This window comes from Homo sapiens, chromosome 19, assembly GCF_000001405.40.
Source record: "Homo sapiens chromosome 19, GRCh38.p14 Primary Assembly".
Classification (NCBI taxonomy): domain Eukaryota; kingdom Metazoa; phylum Chordata; class Mammalia; order Primates; family Hominidae; genus Homo; species Homo sapiens.
The window spans coordinates 6,442,176-6,460,572 of NC_000019.10; the positions used below are offsets into that span (position 1 = coordinate 6,442,176).

An 18,397-nucleotide genomic window follows, 5' to 3' on the forward strand; every position below is an offset into this window, starting at 1 on the left:
GGGGCACCAGGTAAGGCCAACGTTCCCCTTTCACTTCCCCCTCCTACCCCCAGGGTTGGGCCAGGTGGTGTCATTGCAGCAGGAGGGAAGGAGGTTAGACTAACAGTGGGACCTACCACTCAGAGTCGAGACTTGTATTGACCTTGGAACTGGCTGCTCACCTTTTCGCCCCAAGTTTGGGGACAATTAGAAATGGAGCAGGTATGGGTGTGCAAGGTGAGAAAGGACAGAAATGTCCTCCTCCTGGAGCCAGGTTCCCTCCCTCCTTTCCCAGCTGACTCCTACTCATATTCCCAACCCCTATCCCAGAGCCAGCTCCCCAGGGGACTCCTCCTTGGTGCTCCAGTCTAAGTCAGGCTCCTCCCTGCCCTCCACCCACTTTTTGTTTTTTAGACGGAGTTTCGCTCTTGTTGCCCAGGCTGGAGTGCAATGGTGCAATCTCGGCTCACTGCAACCTCCGCCTCCCGGGTTCAAGCAATTCTCCTGCCTCAGCCTGCCAAGTAGCCGGGATTACAGGCATGCGCCACCTTGCCCGGCTAATTTTTTTGTATTTATAGTAGAGACGGGGTTTCTCCATGTTGGTCAGGCTGGTCTCCAACTCCCAACCTCAGGTGATCCATCCGCCTCGGCCTCCCAAAGTGCTGGGATTACAGGCGTGAACCACCACACCCGGCCCTTGAACTCTTAACCTCAGGTGATCCGCCCACCTCGGCCTCCCAAAGTGCTGGGATTACAGGCGTGTGCCACCATGCCCAGCCCTTTTTTTTTTTTTTTTTTTTGAGACAGAGTTTTCACTCCTGTTGCCCAGGCTGGAGTGCGATGGCACGAACTTGGCTTACTGCAACCTATGCCTGCTGGGTTCAAGTGATTCTCCTGCCTCAGCCTCTCGAGTAGCTAAGATTACAGGCGCCTGCTATCACACCCGGCTAATTTTTGTATTTTCAGTAGAGACAGGATTTAGCCATGTTGGTCAGGCTAGTCTCGAACTCCTGACCTCAGGTGATCCACCCACCTAGGCCTCCCAAGGTGCTGGGATGGCAGGCGTGAGCCACTACCCCTGGCTCCCACCCACTTTTTTGAGACAGGGTCTCACTCTGTCACCCAGGCTGGAGTGTGGTGGCATAATCATAGCTCACTGCAGCCTCAAGTGATCCTCCGGCCTCAGCCTCCCAAGTAGTTTGGACTACAGGCACCTGCCACCACGCCTGGCTAATTTATTTCTTCATTTTTTAAAAAAAGATGGGGTCTTGCTATGTTGCCCGGGCTGGTCTCAAACTCCTGGACTCAAATGATCCTTCCTCTTTGGCCTCCTAAAGTGCTGGGATTACAGATGTGAGCCACTGTGCCCGGCCTCCTTCTCCCCTTTATACAACCCTAAATCAATACTTAATTCCAGAATGATTTATTTAGCATCTTCCTTCCTCTCCGGCCTGTGAGCTCTATGAGGGTGGGGACCGTGTCCGTCTTGTACACTGACACATCTCCAGTGAAAATCACAAAACACAAACACTAAAATTCTCAAGAAAATTCTCAAAACAGATTCAGGGAGAATGGGAGGGTAGTGGTGGAGGGGACGGGGGGAAATAATTCATAAAAGAAAAATACAGACAAAAACAATAACCACTCTGGCCCTGACTGCTCCCTACCCCTGTTCCTAGCCTCCCGCTCACGATAACCCAGGCTTACAAATTAAGAGTTCAAGTTACCAGCCTGGAAATGCTAGACATTTGCCAGCAACGACATCCCAGCTAAGTCTGCAAGGGATCTCTTCCTGTACCCACTGCACCTGTTATCCTAGTTAATCCTCAGCTCCATGAAAGTAAAGGACTCCCATTTCAATGTCACAAATGGGGAAACGGAGGCCCAGAGAAGCCCATCGAAATCCAGGAGGGTCCCAGCCCAGGGCTCTACTTGGGAGAAGCTGGGGCCCAAGCGATGAGACTCCCCCTGCCCCATCCTCCCGCCCAGGCCTCACCTTGTGCCTGCATGCGGGTCCGGACCAGGGCCAGCGGGTAACTGGCTATCTGGCCGCAGGTGCTGGATATGGTACCGCAGGCCAGGAGCACGAGGATGCCTGGGTCTGCCGAGTCGTGGCTGTACTGCTGAAGCCACCAGTTCTTCAGAGTCTGGAGTGGAGAAGGGAGTAGGGAGGGTTGGGGTGGGTGACCCTAGGACCCTGGCTTCAAAGGCCTGCTGGCCGGTTCTGTATCCCATGACAGGTGCTACTAGCTGAGCACTTGGTACCTCCTAGGGGCCGGGCCAGCCCTTTCCCTGCGTCCCCTCACCCAGTCCTCATCTGGACCCTCTCTGGTAGGTGGAATAAGGGTCCCCTGTACTGACTATGCCCTAATCTCTGGAACCTCTGCATATGTTACCCAAGATGACACAAAGGACTTTGCAGATGGGATTCAGTTAAGGATCTTGAGATGAGATTATTTTGGATTATCTGAGTGGCCCAATGCCATCACAAGGGTCCTTCTTTTTTTAAAAATTATTATTATTATTATTTTGAGATGAAGTCTTGCTCTGTTGCCCAGGCTGGAGTGCAGTGGTGTGATCTTGGCTCACTGCAATCTCCACCTCCCTGGTTCAAGCGATTCTCTTGCCTCAGCCTCCCGGGTAGCTGGGAATACAGGTGCGTGCCACCACACCTGGCTAATTTTTTGTATTTTTAGTAGAGACAGGGTTTCACCGTGCTGGCCAGGATGGTCTCAATCTCCTGACCTTGTGATCCGCCTGCCTCAGCCTCTCAAAGTGCTGGGATTACAGGAATGAGCCACAGTACCTGGCCTAATTATTTTTCTTTTTACAGAGATGGAGTGTCACTATGTTGCTCAGGCTGGTCTCGAACTCCTGGGCTCAAGCGATCCTTCCCCCTCGGCCTCCCAAAGTGCTGGGATTACAGGCATGAGCCACCATGCCTGGCACAAGGCCCCTTCTTTTTTTTTTCAGAGACGGAGTTTCGTTCTCGTTGCCCAGGCAGGAGTGCAATGGTGCAATCTCGGCTGACTGCAACCTCCGCCTCCTGGCTTCAAGCGATTCTCCTGCCTCAGCCTCGAAGTAGCTAGGATTACAAGCGTGTGCCATCACGCCCAGCTAATTTTTGTATTATTAGTAGAGATGGGGTTTCACCATGTTGGCCAGAGTGGTCTCAAACTCCTGACTTCAGGTGATCCACCTGCCTCGGTCTCCCAAAGTGCTGGGATTACAAGCATGAGTCACCATGCCCGGCACAAGGGCCCTTCTAAGAGTTAGAAAAGTAGGTGTAAAGACAGAAGCAGAAGCGAGAGAGAGATTGGAAGATGCTATGCTACTGGCTTTGAAGATGGAAGAAGGGACCACAAGCCAAGGAGTGCAGGCGGCCTCTAGAAGCTTTTTCAAGGCAACGAAACAGATTTCCTCCTGGAGCATCCAGAAGGAACGCAGCCCTGCCAACATCTCGATTTTATAAAGCCCAGTAAGAACCCCATTTTGGATTTCTGACCTCCAGAACTGTAAGGATATACATTCGTGTTGTTCTAAGACACTAAGTTTATAACTTGTTTGCTTGCAAGAAGGGTAAAGAATAAATTAAAAACAGCAACAGCAACAAAAGGCCAGGCATGGTGACTCACGCCTGTAATCCCAGCACTTTGGGAGGCCGAGGCAAGAGGATCGTTTGAGCCCAGGAGCCTGAGACCAGCCTCGGAAACATAGCAAGACTCTGTCTCTACAAAAACAAACAAACACACAAACAAACAAACAAACAAAAAAAAACTGGATGTGATGGTGCATGCCTGTGGTCCCAGCTACTCAAGAGGCTGAAGTGGGAGGATTGCTTGAACCCAGGAATTCAAGGCTGTAGTGAGCCGTGATGCACTCCAGCCTGGGCGACAAGAGTGAGACTCAGTATCAAAAAGAAAAAAGGTCGGGCCTGGCGTCCTCACACTGGTAATCCCAGTGCTTTGGGAGGCTGAGATGGGTGGATCACTTGAGGTCAGGAGTTCGAGACCAGCCTGGCCAATATGGCGAAACTCCATCTCTACTAAAAATACCAAAATTAGCCGGTGTGGTGGCAGGCACCTGTAATCCCAGCTACTCAGGAAGCTGAGGCAGGAGAATCGCCTGAACCGGGGAGGCGGAGGTTGCAGCGAGGCAAGATCACACCACTGCACTCCAGCCTGGGCAATAAGAGCAAGACTGTCTCAAAAACAAACAAATGAACAAAAAAACACTCTCCAACGACACTGCCTGTGGTAGATGCTGTGAGTACACCACCTTCATCCCTTCCCACTCCAATTCAGACCTGCTGACTTCTTACTGCCAACATTTACCCAAAGACTTTGCTTGTGGACTTTCTCTGAACGCAGGCCAGCCGGCTCTGACCACTTAGGAATGGGCAGAAAGCCCTGGGAAATTAGCATCTCCAGATGCAACCTTCAAAAGACTGACCTGGTGGATCAATACCCCAGCTCCCTCATCTCTCTGGTGCAGCATGTCTTATGCTGCCTCCCACAGATCTCTAGAGGGCTGGAACTCCATTTGCTAGGAATAGTAACTTGCTTGATAACATACTGTTACGGGTTGAATCATGTCCCTCCTTTGGGGGGGAACATGTTGATGTCCTAACCCCCAGTATCTTAGAAGGTGACATTCTTTGGAAATAGGGTCTTTGCAGATCTAATTAGTTAAGATGAGTAGGGTAACAGGGTAGACCCTTAGTCCAGTATGACTGGTGTCCGTAGAGGAGAAAGACAGAGACACACACGGAGAAAGACAGCCAGGTGACAGCGGAGGCAGAGATTTGAGTGAATGTATCTACAAGCCAAAGAATGTCCAGGGTTGCTGGGAACAAGCAGAAACTGAAAGAAGGAAGGAAGGAAGGATTCTCCCCTAACAAGTTTGAGAGGGAGTATGGCTCTGCTGACACCTTGATTTTGCACTTCTGGCCTCTGGAACTGTGAGACAATAACTTTCTGTTGTTTTAAGCCAACCAGTTTGTGATACTTTGTTACAGCAGTCCTAGGAAACTAACATACTCATACTGTGTGCATTGACTCCCTGTCTCATTACCTCCCCAATAAATCACTTGTCCTCACGTCCCAGTTTCAGGGTCTGTTTTGGAAGGATCTCAAACTAAGACCAAAACTATTATTATTATTATTGAGACAGGGTCTCGCTCTCACACCCAGGCTGGAGTGCAGTGGTGAAATCTCGGCTCACTGCAACCTCCGCCTCCTGGGCTCAGGTGATCCTCCCTACTTCAACCTCTGGAGTAGCCAGGATTACAGCTGTGCACCACCACACCCGGCTAATTATCTTTATTTTTATTTTATTATTATTTTTTGAGACACAGTCTCACCCTGTCGCCTGGGTTGGAGTGCAATGGCACCATCTCGGCTCACTGCAACCCCACCTCCCAGGTTCAAGTGATTCTCCTGCATCAGCCTCCTGTGTAGCTGGGATTACAGGCTTATGCCACCGGGATTACAGGCATGTGCCACCAGGCTTGGCTAATTTTTTGCTTTTTTTTTGAGACGGAGTCTCGTTCTGTCGCCCAGGCTGGAGTGCAGCGGCACAATCTCAGCTCACTGCAACCTCCACCTCCCGGGTTCAAGAAATTCTCCTGTCTTAGCCTCCCAGGTAGCTGGGATTGCAGGCACACACAATCACACCCGGCTGATTTTTGTATTTTTAGTAAAGACAGGGTTTAACCATGTTGGCCAGGCTGGTCTCCAACTCCTGACCTCAAGTGATCTGCCTGCCTCTCCCTCCCAAAGTGCTGGGATTACAGGAGTGAGCCACCATGCCCGGCCCTATTATCTCTATTTTATAGAAAAGAAACTGAGGCTCGGGAAGTTACTTGCCCAAAGCTACAAAATAAAGGTGAGAACCAACATTCACAGCTGTATGTGAATCTAGAACTGTGCACCTGAAGACTTTAGGGTGGCTAATCCCTTCTGAAGCCTTCTGCCAAGGTGACTGTAAGAACAAGACCTTCTTTGCTTTGCGGCTGGGAGAGGCTTATAGGTTTCATTTCCTATGCCAATTCTAATCCACCAGAAATTGCTGCCTGAAACTGGAATTGTGTTGAGCAGGACTCAGTGCTGTGATGGATTAGTAATGCCTAGCCCAGGCACAGACTGGGTAAAATAGGCAAGTACTTAACATTATTGCCTTTGAAATTTTAGAAGCCTTCTTTTGGGTCTAGAACAGCACTTGCCAAATAGATGTTTAATGGGTTATTATTAAGATCAATCTGTTGAAAAGAAGTTCTAAAGACGGCCGGGTGTGGTGGCTCATGCCTGTAATCCCAGCATTTTTTTTTTTTTTTGAGATGAAATCTCGCTCTCTCACCCAGGGTGGAGGGCAGTGGCGCGATCTTGGCTCACAGCAAACTCCGCCTCCTGGGTTCAAGCGATTCTCCTGTCTCAGCCTCCCGAGTAGCTGGGATTACAGGTGCCCACCACCACGCCCAGCTATTTTTTGTATTTTTAGTAGAAATGGGGTTTCACCATGTTGGCCAGGATGGTCTTGATCTCTTGATCTTGTGATCCACCCCCCTCAGCCTCCCAAAGTGCTGGGATTACAGGTGTGAGCCACTGCACCTGGCAATTCCAGCATTTTGGGAGGCCGAGGTGGTCGGATCACTTGACGTCAGGAGTTCAAGACCAGCCTGGCCAACATAGTGAAACCCCGTCTCTACTAAAAATACAAAAATTAGCCTGGCGTGGTGGCGCACACCTGTAATCCCAGCTACTCGGCAGGCTGAGGCAGGAGAATTGCTTGAATCTGGGAGGCAGAGGTTGGAGTGAGCTGAGATCACACCACTGCACTCCAGCCTGGGTGACAGAGTGAGACTCTGTCTCAAAAAAAAAGAAAAAAAAAAGTTCTAAAGACTAGATTAATGTGGCCAGCACTGGGTTAAAAACAAAAAAAGTTAAATCACTTTACTGAGAGACTTCTCGGAGCCTTTAAGGGACAAACACAGATTTTGAAACTCCAAGGTTTCTAAAACCTCTTAGACTTTTAAAGTCCCTTTTTGGGTAAAGAATGCATTAAATAATAAGACTGTGTCTTCTTTCTGTCTTTCTTTCTTTCTTTTTTTTTTTTTTTGAGACAGGATCTTGCTCTGTTGCTGAAGCTGGAGTGCATTGGCATGATCACAGCTCACTGAAACCTCTGCGTACTGGGCTCAAGCAATTCTCCCATCTCAGCCTCCTGAGTAGCTGGCACTACAGGTGTGCACCACCACACCTGGCTATTTTTTTTTTTTTTGAGACAGAGTCTTGCTCTGTCACCCAGGCTGGAGTGCAGTGGCACGATCTCAGCTCACTGCAAGCTCCGCTTCCCAGGTTCATGCCATTCTCCTGCCTCAGCCTCCCAAGCAGCTGGGATTACAGGTGCCCGCCACCATGCCTGGCTAATTTTTTGTATTTTTAGTAGAGATGGGGTTTCACCATGTTGGCCAGGATGGTCTCGATCTCTTGACCTTGTGATCCACCCGCCTCGGCCTCCCAAAGTGCTGGGATTACAAGCGTGAGCCACCGTGCCTGGCCACCTGGCTAATTTTTAAATTGTTTTATAGAGACTGGTCTCGAACTCCTGGGCTCAAGCAATCCTCCCACCTCGGCCTCCCAAAGTGCTGGGATTACAGGCACAAGCCACTGCTCCTGGCCGCATCTTATTTCTACTCACAACTCTTTTTTTTTTTTTTTTTTTTTTGAGATGGAGTTTCACTCTGTCACCTGTGCAGTGCAAGAACTCGGCTCACTGCAACCCCCATGCCCCGCCCTGGGTTCAAGCGATTCTCCTACCTCAGACTCCTGAGTAGCTGGGATTATAGGTGCCCACCACCACGCTCGGCTAATTTTTGTATTTTTAGCAGAGCTGGGGTTTCACCATGTTGGCCAGGCTGGTCTTGAACTCCTGACCTCAGGTGATCCACCGGCCTCGGCTTCCCAACGTGCTGGGATTATAGGTGTGAGCCACCGTGACCGGCCTCTACTCATACCTCTTAATGGCTTCCTATTTTACTTAGAAGACCCTGTACCCTGCCCTGATCAGTCCCCCCCAGACACCTAAGACTTCCACTCCTCCAAAAGGCCGTATTTGTTCCTGCTTCCAGACCTGGGTACTAGATTTGTGCATGCTCCCTTGTGATAATACGCCCAACCCATGGCTTCAATGTCACCTTCTTGGAGGCGTTCCTCAACCCCCCTCCCGCCCACTGTTACTGAAGATGACAAATCCTGTCTTGTGATCTTCTGAGAGCTTTTCTAGGAGCTGAAACTATCTTATTTGCTGGTTGATTGCCTGCCTTGTTTATGGGAATGGGCATTCCAGGATGGCAGGGACCATGCTGGTCTCATTCAACACCACAACTGCCACAATCCGCACAGTGTCTAGCACAGAGTAGATGGTCAGTAAATAGTCACTAAGCGAATGAGTGAACAACAAAATGGAGGAACAAATGAATGAGTGAGCAACGGTCTTGTCTCATTTGGTTGTCTACATGCCAGGTGCTGGGGAGGGCAGGTAAAGATGGCAGGAACAGAGCCTATTAGATCAGAATCAGCTACATAATTTGCAGGATCCAGTGCACAATGTAAAAGGGTGGGGGTCCCTTGTTCAAAAATTATTGGCCAGGTGTGGTGGCTCACACCTGTCATCCTAGCACTTTGGGAGGCTGAGGTGGGGGGATCCCCTAAGGTCAGGAGTTTGAGACCAGCCTGGGCAACATGGTGAAACCCTGTCTACTAAACATACAAAAATTAGCCAGGCGTGGTGGCAGGCACCTGTAATCTCAGCTACTCGGGAGGCTGAGGCAGGAGAATTCCTTGAACCTGGGAGGTGGAGGCTGCAGTGGGCCGAGATCGCGCCACTGCATTCCAGCCTGGGCGACAGAGTGAGACTCTGTCTCGGGAAAAAAAAAAAAAAATTAAGAATTTCAGGCCTGGCATGGTAGTTCACACCTGTAATCCAGCACTTTGGGAGGCCAAGGCGGGTGGATCACTTAAGGTCAGGAGTTTGAGACCAGCCTGGCCAACATGGTGAAACCCTGTCTCTACTAAAAATATAAAAATTAGCCGGGCATGGTGATGCATGCCTGTAATCCCAGCTACTCGGGAGACTGAGGCAGGAGAATTGCTTGAACCCAGGAGATGTAGGTTGCAGTGAGCCGAGATCGCGCCATTGCACTCCAGCCTGGGCGACAAGAGCGAGACTCCGTCTCAAAAAAATAAATAAATAAATAAAAATAATTTCGAGACAGCAGTAGCAGAGCGTTACACCAAGCACAGGGCCCTTCCGAGCATGGGGCTCTCTGCGACTTCACAGGTCACATGCCCATGAAGCAGGCCCTGTCTTGCATACAAAGATTTTGGGGGGAACGCTTGGGGACATCCAGGACCATGCTAATTGGGGGAGACCTGGTGATCCCACTAGAAGGTAAAAGCAACAGATGAGGTCCCTGGAAGAGAAACAGCCAAGAACTGTCTGCACCTGCCTGTGTTGATAAAGGTCTCAAGATGCTGGTGATTAGGTGTGGTTCTTATGGTAACAGCAGATGCTCAAATGGGCAGGCCCTGAAGATGACATTGGCTTAGAGACCGTGGCTGGGTCTGATACTTGCTTCGGGGAAGTTGGGTGTCTTTGAGACTCATCTTTGCCTGCCTTTTTTTTTTTTTTTTTTGAGAAGGAGTCTCGCTCTGTTGCCCAGGCTGCAGTGCAGTAGCTCTGTCACCAGGCTGGAGTGCAGTAGCGGGATGTTGGCTCACTGCAACCTCCGCCTCCCAGGCTCAAGCAATTCTCATGCCTCGGCCTTTTGGAGTAGCTGGTATTACAAGCACACATCACCATGCCTGGCTAATTTTTGTAATCTTTGCCTGATCTTATGTTTGTCAGCTAGAGTGGTCCCTGACTTTCAGGTGACCCCGGAAGGCTGAGCTGCTAATCAAAAGTAAGTGGAGAAGTGGGAGAGTCCAATACCTGGAAGGGTTCCCCAGGATTCCCAGGGCCAAGGTGCTCCTCACCTCATAACTGCCTTTCTCTAACTATAGCAGGTCAACTGAGCCAGCCCCAGGGGAAGGGGAAGGGGTGTCCTGTGGGTAAATCCCAGAGGGGAGCAGGGAAAGAGGAACGCGCTGCCCACAGACCTCGTAGACGGCCAGGTCGATGCCCGCATAGGGGATGATGCCCAGCACGTTGGGGAGGTAGCCGCGGTAGAAGGCACGGGGCCCCTCCCTCTCCAGGATACGCCTGGCGCAGTCCAGCAGCCCCTTATACTGGCCCGTCCGGCGCAAGGTCAGCCGCGTCTTCAGCACCTGGGGAGAACCTGGTTATCCCTGGAAAAGCTGTCCCACCAAATCGCTACATCCAGGAATGAAGACACCTAGAAATAGCTACTCCTGAAAACAGATGCCCTGAGAACAACCGAATTTTAAAAACCACCTACTCTAGAATCTTCTGCTATCCCCAAATCCCTATACCTAGAAATAGTTACACCTACCAAAGTGCACACATGTGGCACCACCAGTAACTGTCTCCTGATATCTTTCTTTTATTTTTTGGTCATTTCTGTAGAGATGGGGACTCGCTACTTTGCCCGTGCTGGTCTCGAACTCCTGGGCTCAAGTGATCCTCCCCTCTCCATCTCCCAAAGGACTGGGGTTACAGGCATGAGCCATCATGCCCAGACCTCCAGTATCTTGTTCCCTTCTGCTTTCATATCAGAAACTGTAACTTTCAGCAAGCACACAGCCACTAGAAAGAAAAATGACATTTCCCAGATGCCCTGGGTATGTGGCTATGTCACTATGTCCTAGCCAAAGAAATAGAAGGAAGAGAAAGAGGTACACATAAGGTTCAGAAAGCATCCTTAGAGGTGGGGAGGTGTTTCCTTTTTTATTGCTTCTTCCTTCTTGGCTGGAGTGTGGAATGTGATGAACGGAGCACAAGCAGCCACATTGGTCCATGAGGTTGTGTAACAACAAGATAGACAGAAAGAACCTGCATCGCTAACACTCTGAAGCTACCATCCCAGCCTGAAATGCTCATCTGTAGACTTTGTTGATGTGATTGAAGTTTTTTTTTTTTTTTTTTTGAGCTGGAGTCTTGCTCAGTTGCCCAGACTGAGTGCAGTGACATGATCTTGGCTCACTGCAACCACCGCCTCCCAGGTTCAAGCCATTCTCCTGCCTCAGCTTCCTAAGTGTCTGGGATTACAGGTGCCCACCACCATCCCCAGCTAATTTTTGTATTTTTAGTAGAGACGGTATTTCACCATGTTGGTCAGGCTGGTCTTGAACTCCTGACCTCAGGTGATCCACCTGCCTCGGCCTCCCAAAGTGCTGGGATTACAGGCGCTAGACATCGCACCCAGCTGACATGATTTAAGTTTTCTGTCACTTTCAGAATCCAAACAATACACTTCATAACCTGAAACCTGAAATAATTTATCTGAAAACATGTAGCTAGCACAGTCTATCCTTAGAAGAGGCATATTCATAAACAGTTGGTGACACCTAGACACGACGTCCCTGGGAACGTGCACCCTATCCTTAGAAGATGCATATTTATAAACAGCTGGCTCCTATGACTACCATCCAAACAAGGATAACCGACACTACCTTCCCCAGAAATTATATCTCAGTTGTAATACCCAGACAGGCTACACATGAAATTGCATTACTCTGATGAGCTATACTCCAAATCAGAGAGGGACAAAGGTAAAATCCCAATGGATATTGTGAAATGCAGAGTGAGATGGGTACAGCAGGCCCCCCACCCTGCCATGGGGCCTCCGCTGGGGTCCCTCCTTCTCACCTCCATAGGGTAAATGATGGTTTGGGCTGTGGCACCAGCCAGGGAGCCAGCCACGAAGCGCTCCTGCACATGCAGTGTCTCCTGCTGCCCCAGGATGGCCCTCTTGATCTGAGGCGGGGAGACACAGGGATGGGTAGGACCATGGGGGTTGAACCTTCCTTGCACTCCACTGTTCTCCTGGCTTCCAAAGAACTGGCTTGCTGCAGGCATTCATGCAGAGGAGCAGATGCCTGATCCTGGGGACCTGTGTTCACCACCCACCCCCAAGCCAATCCCGTAAATCTTTATGTACAGCCCAGTCTTCCCTATGGCAAGCACATTCCTCCCTGTACCTGCCCTCACCTGTTCATAGGCCATGAACTTGATAGCTGACTCGGGGGCAATCTTGAGTACATTAATACCATTGCCGCGCCACAGGGAGCGGATGCCTCCCTCAAGGACCATGCTTCGAAGCCCCCCAAGGATGTTCAGCCGGTTGGTCTTTGAGGCATGGACCTGAATGGGGAGACAACAGCTTGGAGGTCCCCTCCCAGGTGTCAGGCCTGGGGGAGGGGGCAGGTCTCTCCAGAGCCCCTCACCTGCATGAAGACCTTGAGGCGGTCCAGAGGGGCCGTGCCTGTCCGTGACACGGCACCTGCCACTGCGCCGGCCACCAGCTGTTTCCACCACATGCCCGTCAGCTTCTCTTGCTTTGAGAACTCGTCCGGCACTGTCAGGCACTCGCCAATGTCCAGGACCTAAAGATACAGGTGTTGGGGGTGTCATGCCATGGTGGGGACAGGGAGATGTGACTCAGTCCTAAATAGGGGAGTCTCCTCTATGAATCCTAGGATACCCTAGAGTCTGCCAATGACTCTTGCTTGGAGACCCCAGAAGAGTCCTGTTGGGTCCTACCAGGTGTCACCAAAGCATCTAACCTAGCAGCCTCCTTAGAAGATCCCAATATCCTACTAAATCCCACCAAAGGATCTGCCAAATCCCACTAAAGGATCCTATTCAAGTATCTGCCACATAAAGATCCCTCCAGGCTAGATGTGATGCCTCACATCTGTAGTCCCAGCACTTTGGGAGGCCCAAGTGGGAGAATCCCTTGGGGCCAGGAGTTCAAGACCAGCCTGGGCAACATAGCAAGATCCCCTCTCTACAAAAATTGGCCGGGCATGTGCCTGTAGTCCCAGCTACTCAGGAGGCCAAGATGGGAGGATTGCTTGAGCCCAGGAGTTTGAGGCTACATTGAGCTATGATCACACCACTGCATTTCAGCCTGGGAAACAGAGTAAGACCTTGTCTGTAACAGCAAAAAAAGATCCCTCAGGGCAAATGAGATTCTACTGAAGGATCCCACTCAAGGGTTTTCCATATAATGATTCCAAAAGATCCCTTCAGGGCCATACAAGATCTTACCAGGCACCTCCCCTATAAAGACCCCAGCAGATCCTTCTCAGGGACCCACGAAATCTCACAGGGATCTCCTCCACATGGAGTCCCCGTGCAGGAATCATTTCCAGTCTAGAATTTCTAACCAAGGTCCCCATGAATCGTCTGGGGTGGGAGTCTCTGGATCTCCAAAGAGGTTCTCACCAGATCCCACAGACGGATCCCCCTCCAGATGCCATCAGATCCTACCAGACACATTGCTCATAGACATTTCACCCAGGAACTAGGGATCTAGAGCAAACCCCCACTACCCTCTCTAGTGGCTCCCATTGGATCCTCTGAAGACCGTGTTTTTTTTTTTTTTTTTTTTTTTTTTTTGAGACGGAGTGTGGCTCTGTCACCCAGGCTAGAGTGCAGTGGCACGATCTCGGCTCACTGCAAGCTCCCGCCTCCTGGGTTCACGCCATTCTCCTGCCTTAGCCTTCCTAGTAGCTGGGACTACAGGTGCCTGCCACTACACCTGGCTCATTTTTTTAATATTTTTGTAGAGACGGGGTTTCACCATGTTAGCCAGGATGGTCGCGATCGCCTGACCTCGTGATCCGCCCACTTCGGCCTCCCAAAGTGCTGGGATTTTAGGTGTGAGCCACTGCGCCTGGCCAAGACCGTGGTTTTTGAACGATTCTGTTCAGCCGTAGAATCTTTTATCCAGGCAGAGAACCCAGCAGAAGAGAGCTGTGTGGGTGGAAGGTGGGAGGCCTTGTACCCCATCTGGTGAGCTCTTTCTTCCCTGTACCCGCAACCCCCACACGCTGTCCCCAGAGGCCCCGATGTAAGTCTCAAGGGCTGCGCTTCAATCAGACAGCAGAGATGTCCCAAATGGGACCCTTGAACCCTAAGTGGAGGAAGAGAGGAACAGACCCTCATCCGTCAGCTGCTGCCAGTGCCTTCTCCTTCTGGAAAGTCCTGGTCCAGCCCATCCAAGCCCTGGGGAGATCGGAGCAAGGCCCCCCTGGGGAAGAGGGCACAGCCTTCAGCTGGGGAAAGCCACCCCCACCTCACCGTGGAATGCTTCCAGAAATACAGCACGTCCTCCACATTTTCCAGCGAATGCAACAGGAAGTGGTCGCGCCATTCTTGCCAGTCAATGGTCATTGTGCCGTCTCGGTCCATGCTGGGGGGAAGAAAGGGGGTGGAGGAGGACAGGTTCAGTGCCTGGGGGTGGGCTAGGCTGGGGTGAAGTTCTGCTAGGTTTTGCAGTTTGGGAGGTTCAAGTCCTCATATCAACCCTATTAGAGATGTAGCAAATATTACCATCATTTTCTTTTTTCTTTTTTTTTGAGACGGAGTCTTGCTCTGTTGCCCAGGCTAGAGAGCAATGGTGCGATCTCAGCTCACTGCAACCTCTGCCTCCTGGGTTCAAGAGATTCTCCTGCCTCAGCCTCCCATGTAGCTGGGACTACAGGTGCACACCACCATGCCCAGCAAATTTTTGTATTTTTAGTAGAGACAGGGTTTCACCATATTGGCCAGGATGGTCTCCATCTCTTGACCTCGTGATCCACCTGCCTCGGCCTTCCAAAGTGGCAGGATTGCAGGCGTGAGCCACCATAGCCAGCTGTATTACCCTCATTTTGTAGAGGGGGAAACGGGCTAAGAGAGGCAACTGGTCCCAGATCTGTCTGGCTTCAATTTGAATTTTTCTTTCTTTTTTTTTTTTTTTTTCCAGAAGGAGTCTCACTCCGTCACCCTGGTTAGAGTGTCCTGGCCTGATCTTGGCTCACTGCAACCTCCACCTCTTGGGTTTAAGGGATTCCCGTGCCTCAGCCTCCCCAAGTAGCTGGAATTACAGGCATGCACCACCACGCCTGGCCAATGTTTGTATTTTTAGTAGAGATGGGGTTTTACCATGTTGGCCAGGCTGGTCCCCAACTCCTGACCTCAGGTGATCCACCTGCCTCAGCCTCCCAAAGTGCTGGGGTTACAGATGTGAGCCACTGCGCCTGGCCAGATCTGTCTGACTTCAAAGCCCCAACCTCTCAGCTGTATCCTCCTTGGGACTGGGTCTGGAGCCCAGAAGACAGAGATGGCCAAGGGGTCACTGTGTCCTGAGTTACTTTGGATTCCAGACCCCCAGCGACTCACCTGTGCAAAATTTTCTCAGCCTGCTCCAGCGAGATGGAAATGCCCAGAGCTCGGAAACTCTGTTGGATCTCAGAGACATCAATGTGACCTGGGGAGGGGGCCGGAGGTGGGGAAGGATGTGCGTGTGAGGACACCTGGGGAACCCCAGGACCAAGGATCAGAACAGCTTGGAATGGAGGTGGTCTAGCAAGATCAGGGGCTCCAGAAACCTAGGAGGAGGTTTGCAGTAGGGCTGTGGGGGGACCCCTGACTCACTGGGGTCAGAGAGGTGGAACTGGGAAATACTGGGGGGGCTTCTCTGTTCTGTAAATGAATGAAGGAATCCAGGGGTAATTGTAGGGGTCTCTATGCCATGGGGGATTGAGAGGCAATATCCACAACCCAGATGCTGCTATGAGGGGATCTCTGTCCCACAGGGGACCCAGGAACAGCATAGGGTATCTTTGCCCCATAGAAAAATCTAAGGGTAATTATCGGGGTTCTGCCCCAGTAGGGAAAGGAGGTGGGATGGGCTGGCTGGGCCTCGAACCACCTAGCTAGGGGGTGAGGAGTGCTCCTGAAATAGCCTATGAGTCATCGGGGAGAAGCGGCCCTCCCCCTCTCCTCCTAGCGCTGCCAGTTCTAACCCCACTGATGTCTCTAGGGCCCCCACAGCCCTATCCCTTGGGGCCTGCAGGCAGGTCGCCCGACCTTACCATCCTGGTTCCGGTCAAGACTGTGAAACATGAGCAGCAGACGCTGTTCCCGCTCCTGCAGATAGCGGGAAAATTCCTCCAGGTCGAGCCCGCCATCTGGGTCAGCATCACCCTCAGAGGAGATACCCTGACAGAGGGAAAGGGGATAGAGGTGGCTCCAGGAACCTGCTCCTGATCTGGAGGGGACGCATGTCACCTTATGCCTTAGGAACCCAGAGCCCCCAGCGCCTTGAGGAAGGGGATAGAAGACGTCACCCCACTTCTCCCTCAGTCAGCTAACTTCTCAGCCAGATCCCTACAGCCACCACAGGTCTGTGCGGTGGGTGTGAGTGGTCTAGTTTTCCTGGTGAGCAAACTGAGGCTCTGCAAGGTCAAGTCACCAGTTCAAGGTCACAGAACCAGGAAATGGTAACCTCAGTTCTCATCTGTAAAGCCTGTCCTTCCAGCTGTCTCTTGTTTTTAGTTTTTGTTATTTTTTTAGGTATCTCATTCCTGTTGAACCCAGCTGCCTCTTAAAAAACCCTGTCCACATGGGGGACCCAGGGGTTCCCTTTGGAGGAAGCCCTGGGCGATGTGGGGCAGGAGAGAACCAAGCGGAGTGGCTGAGGCCTTGGTTTTTCCCATTTGGGAAGTGGGAGGTTGGACTGCTCTCAGGGTTGCTGTGGTTCTCTTAGAGCGATCTGGGGCTACAGGTGTGGGAAGGACCTGCAAAGTGGAGGTGGGGGCAGCGGGAGGAAAGTCTTGTTATAGGTGCATTCCCAGCTGCGGGTGACCGCAGACAGGATTGGGTCCCTGGCTGGGGCAGCCCGGGACAGTGAGCCAGGCCCGTGAACGGCCCATGAAAGGGCAGGCCAGGGAATGTAAACACAGGGATCGGGGCAGCTGCAGGCCAGGGCAGTAGGTGCCCAGAGGATGGAGGGTGTGTCTCCTGGAGGTGAGAGCAGGGCACGTCATGGGCTGTGCAGTCTGGAGGAGGGTGTGTCCCGGGCAGTGGGCAGGAAAGCGCCCCCATCTCTTCCCAGGCAGACGCCCCCTGCCCCGCAGCAGGGGGATCGGGTGTTGGCCGCGGAACTGCAGGCTTGGGGCCTCGGCGTCCCTGTCTTGAGCGATCCCGTTAGGCCAAACACGAGTGGGTAGGGGGAACGAGACAGAGACACAGGTTCTGGAGTCCAGCCACAGGTAGTCCCTGGTGGCTCCGGCCGCCCAGTTCAGGGGCTTGGGTAACCGGGAGCGGGCGGGGCCGGGAGGGGAGGAGGTCCCTGGGGGTGGGGGTACCTGTTGGGCGCCGGGGTCTGGGTTGCCCCCGCCCAGCCTGGCCAGCCCCTGGCGCAACTCGTGCACGTCCACGCGGCCATCCTTGTTACTGTCCAGCTCCTCGAACAGGCGACCCCAGCGCTGCCGCCGCTCCGCGTCGCCCGGGCTCCCCCGCATGGCGCCCGCCCGGGGGGGAGGGGAGGCCCGGCAGCGGCGGCCTCAGTGGGGGCTTCGCGGCTCCCCCTCCCCCCCCGGGACCCCGCAGGGTCAGCTCCCGCGGCCGCCGGCTCCGCAGCCTCCGCGCAGTCCGCTCGGCTCTGGCACTTGCGGGAGGTGGTGACGGCTAGCCGTCGCCGCCCGCGCCAGAACTTGCGTCTCCTCCCCCGACCTGCATTGGGGGGAGGGGACCGAGGGCGGAGCTGGGGGCGTGGGGAGGGAATGTCTGGGATGGTCTGGTATTGCACAGCCGAGGAACACCAGAGTTCCTTCTGGGAAGACGGGCTAGGGAGCTCAGTGGTCTCAGGTCTGGTTTCAGAGTTCCGCCTCTGCGTGCCTCAGTTTACCCTTTCCCCCTTTGCCCAAGGGGGCAAGGTAGAGCGCTGTCGGGGATTGGGTTTCATAATCCCCTTCCACTTGACCTCCCCGCCACACCCACTAATCTTCAGGAACTCAAGTTCTCGCTTTTCCCAGACGCACGCAAGAACCGTGCACCATCTCGCTCGCTCTCTGCCCGCCCGCGCCTTACACCTTCCCCGCTCGGCCGCAGAAACAGAAGATCCAGGAGCGATGCTCTCCCACTGTCCCTTCTTCCCGCCCGCGCGCTTCCTTTCTCGGTTCCCACTCTGACTGGGAAACAGAAAATCAACGCGCGGCGCGGCTGCAAAGTCGGTTTCCTATTGGTCAGCGCCTCCTGGGCTGAGCCCGCCCGCCCCGCCTCTTCTCCCACCTAGGCGGGGCCTCCCCGCAGACCCCCGACTGCCTCCAGCCCGCAGTCCCACCGCCTGCCAGGAGATCTTAAAGGGGCCGCGGCCGCAATCAGACGCTGAGCGGCGTGGGGAGGGGGTGGCTCAGTGACCCGGGCGCGGGGTTGAGGATCCCAGTGGTCGAGCGCTGGAGGCAGG

General features: G+C 52.7%; 1 protein-coding gene across 31 annotated transcripts in view, besides 3 other annotated features; it reads right to left on the reverse strand.

Annotated features, from left to right (window-relative positions):
- SLC25A23 (solute carrier family 25 member 23) overlaps nucleotides 1–17,617 on the reverse strand; it is a 23,712-nt gene extending 6,095 nt beyond the window's left edge. For 10 of the 31 annotated variants that reach the window (XM_011528284.3, XM_011528282.3, XM_011528280.3 and 7 more), the window contains exons 1-10: nucleotides 17,298–17,617; nucleotides 16,023–16,149; nucleotides 15,328–15,415; nucleotides 14,245–14,356; nucleotides 13,777–13,917; nucleotides 12,384–12,542; nucleotides 12,148–12,300; nucleotides 11,806–11,913; nucleotides 10,137–10,304; nucleotides 1,976–2,126 (exon numbers count right to left, since the gene is read on the reverse strand). In XM_011528284.3, coding sequence (XP_011526586.1) covers nucleotides 1,976–2,126; nucleotides 10,137–10,304; nucleotides 11,806–11,913; nucleotides 12,148–12,300; nucleotides 12,384–12,542; nucleotides 13,777–13,917; nucleotides 14,245–14,356; nucleotides 15,328–15,415; nucleotides 16,023–16,149; nucleotides 17,298–17,453 — 1,363 coding nt within the window. In that variant the 5' untranslated portion in view covers nucleotides 17,454–17,617. The remainder of the gene's footprint in view (nucleotides 1–1,975; nucleotides 2,127–10,136; nucleotides 10,305–11,805; nucleotides 11,914–12,147; nucleotides 12,301–12,383; nucleotides 12,543–13,776; nucleotides 13,918–14,244; nucleotides 14,357–15,327; nucleotides 15,416–16,022; nucleotides 16,150–17,297) is intronic. The other 21 variants (XM_047439408.1, XM_047439406.1, XM_017027288.3 and 18 more) reach the window with 5 other exon arrangements.
- Nucleotides 17,369–17,428: a silencer, noted in NCBI's record as "silent region_9950". NCBI's record gives its function as "represses an Ori minimal core promoter by ATAC-STARR-seq in GM12878 lymphoblastoid cells {active_cell/tissue: GM12878}" and the evidence as "EXISTENCE:reporter gene assay evidence [ECO:0000049][PMID:35858748]".
- Nucleotides 17,479–17,618: a silencer, noted in NCBI's record as "silent region_9951". NCBI's record gives its function as "represses an Ori minimal core promoter by ATAC-STARR-seq in GM12878 lymphoblastoid cells {active_cell/tissue: GM12878}" and the evidence as "EXISTENCE:reporter gene assay evidence [ECO:0000049][PMID:35858748]".
- Nucleotides 18,129–18,308: a silencer, noted in NCBI's record as "silent region_9952". NCBI's record gives its function as "represses an Ori minimal core promoter by ATAC-STARR-seq in GM12878 lymphoblastoid cells {active_cell/tissue: GM12878}" and the evidence as "EXISTENCE:reporter gene assay evidence [ECO:0000049][PMID:35858748]".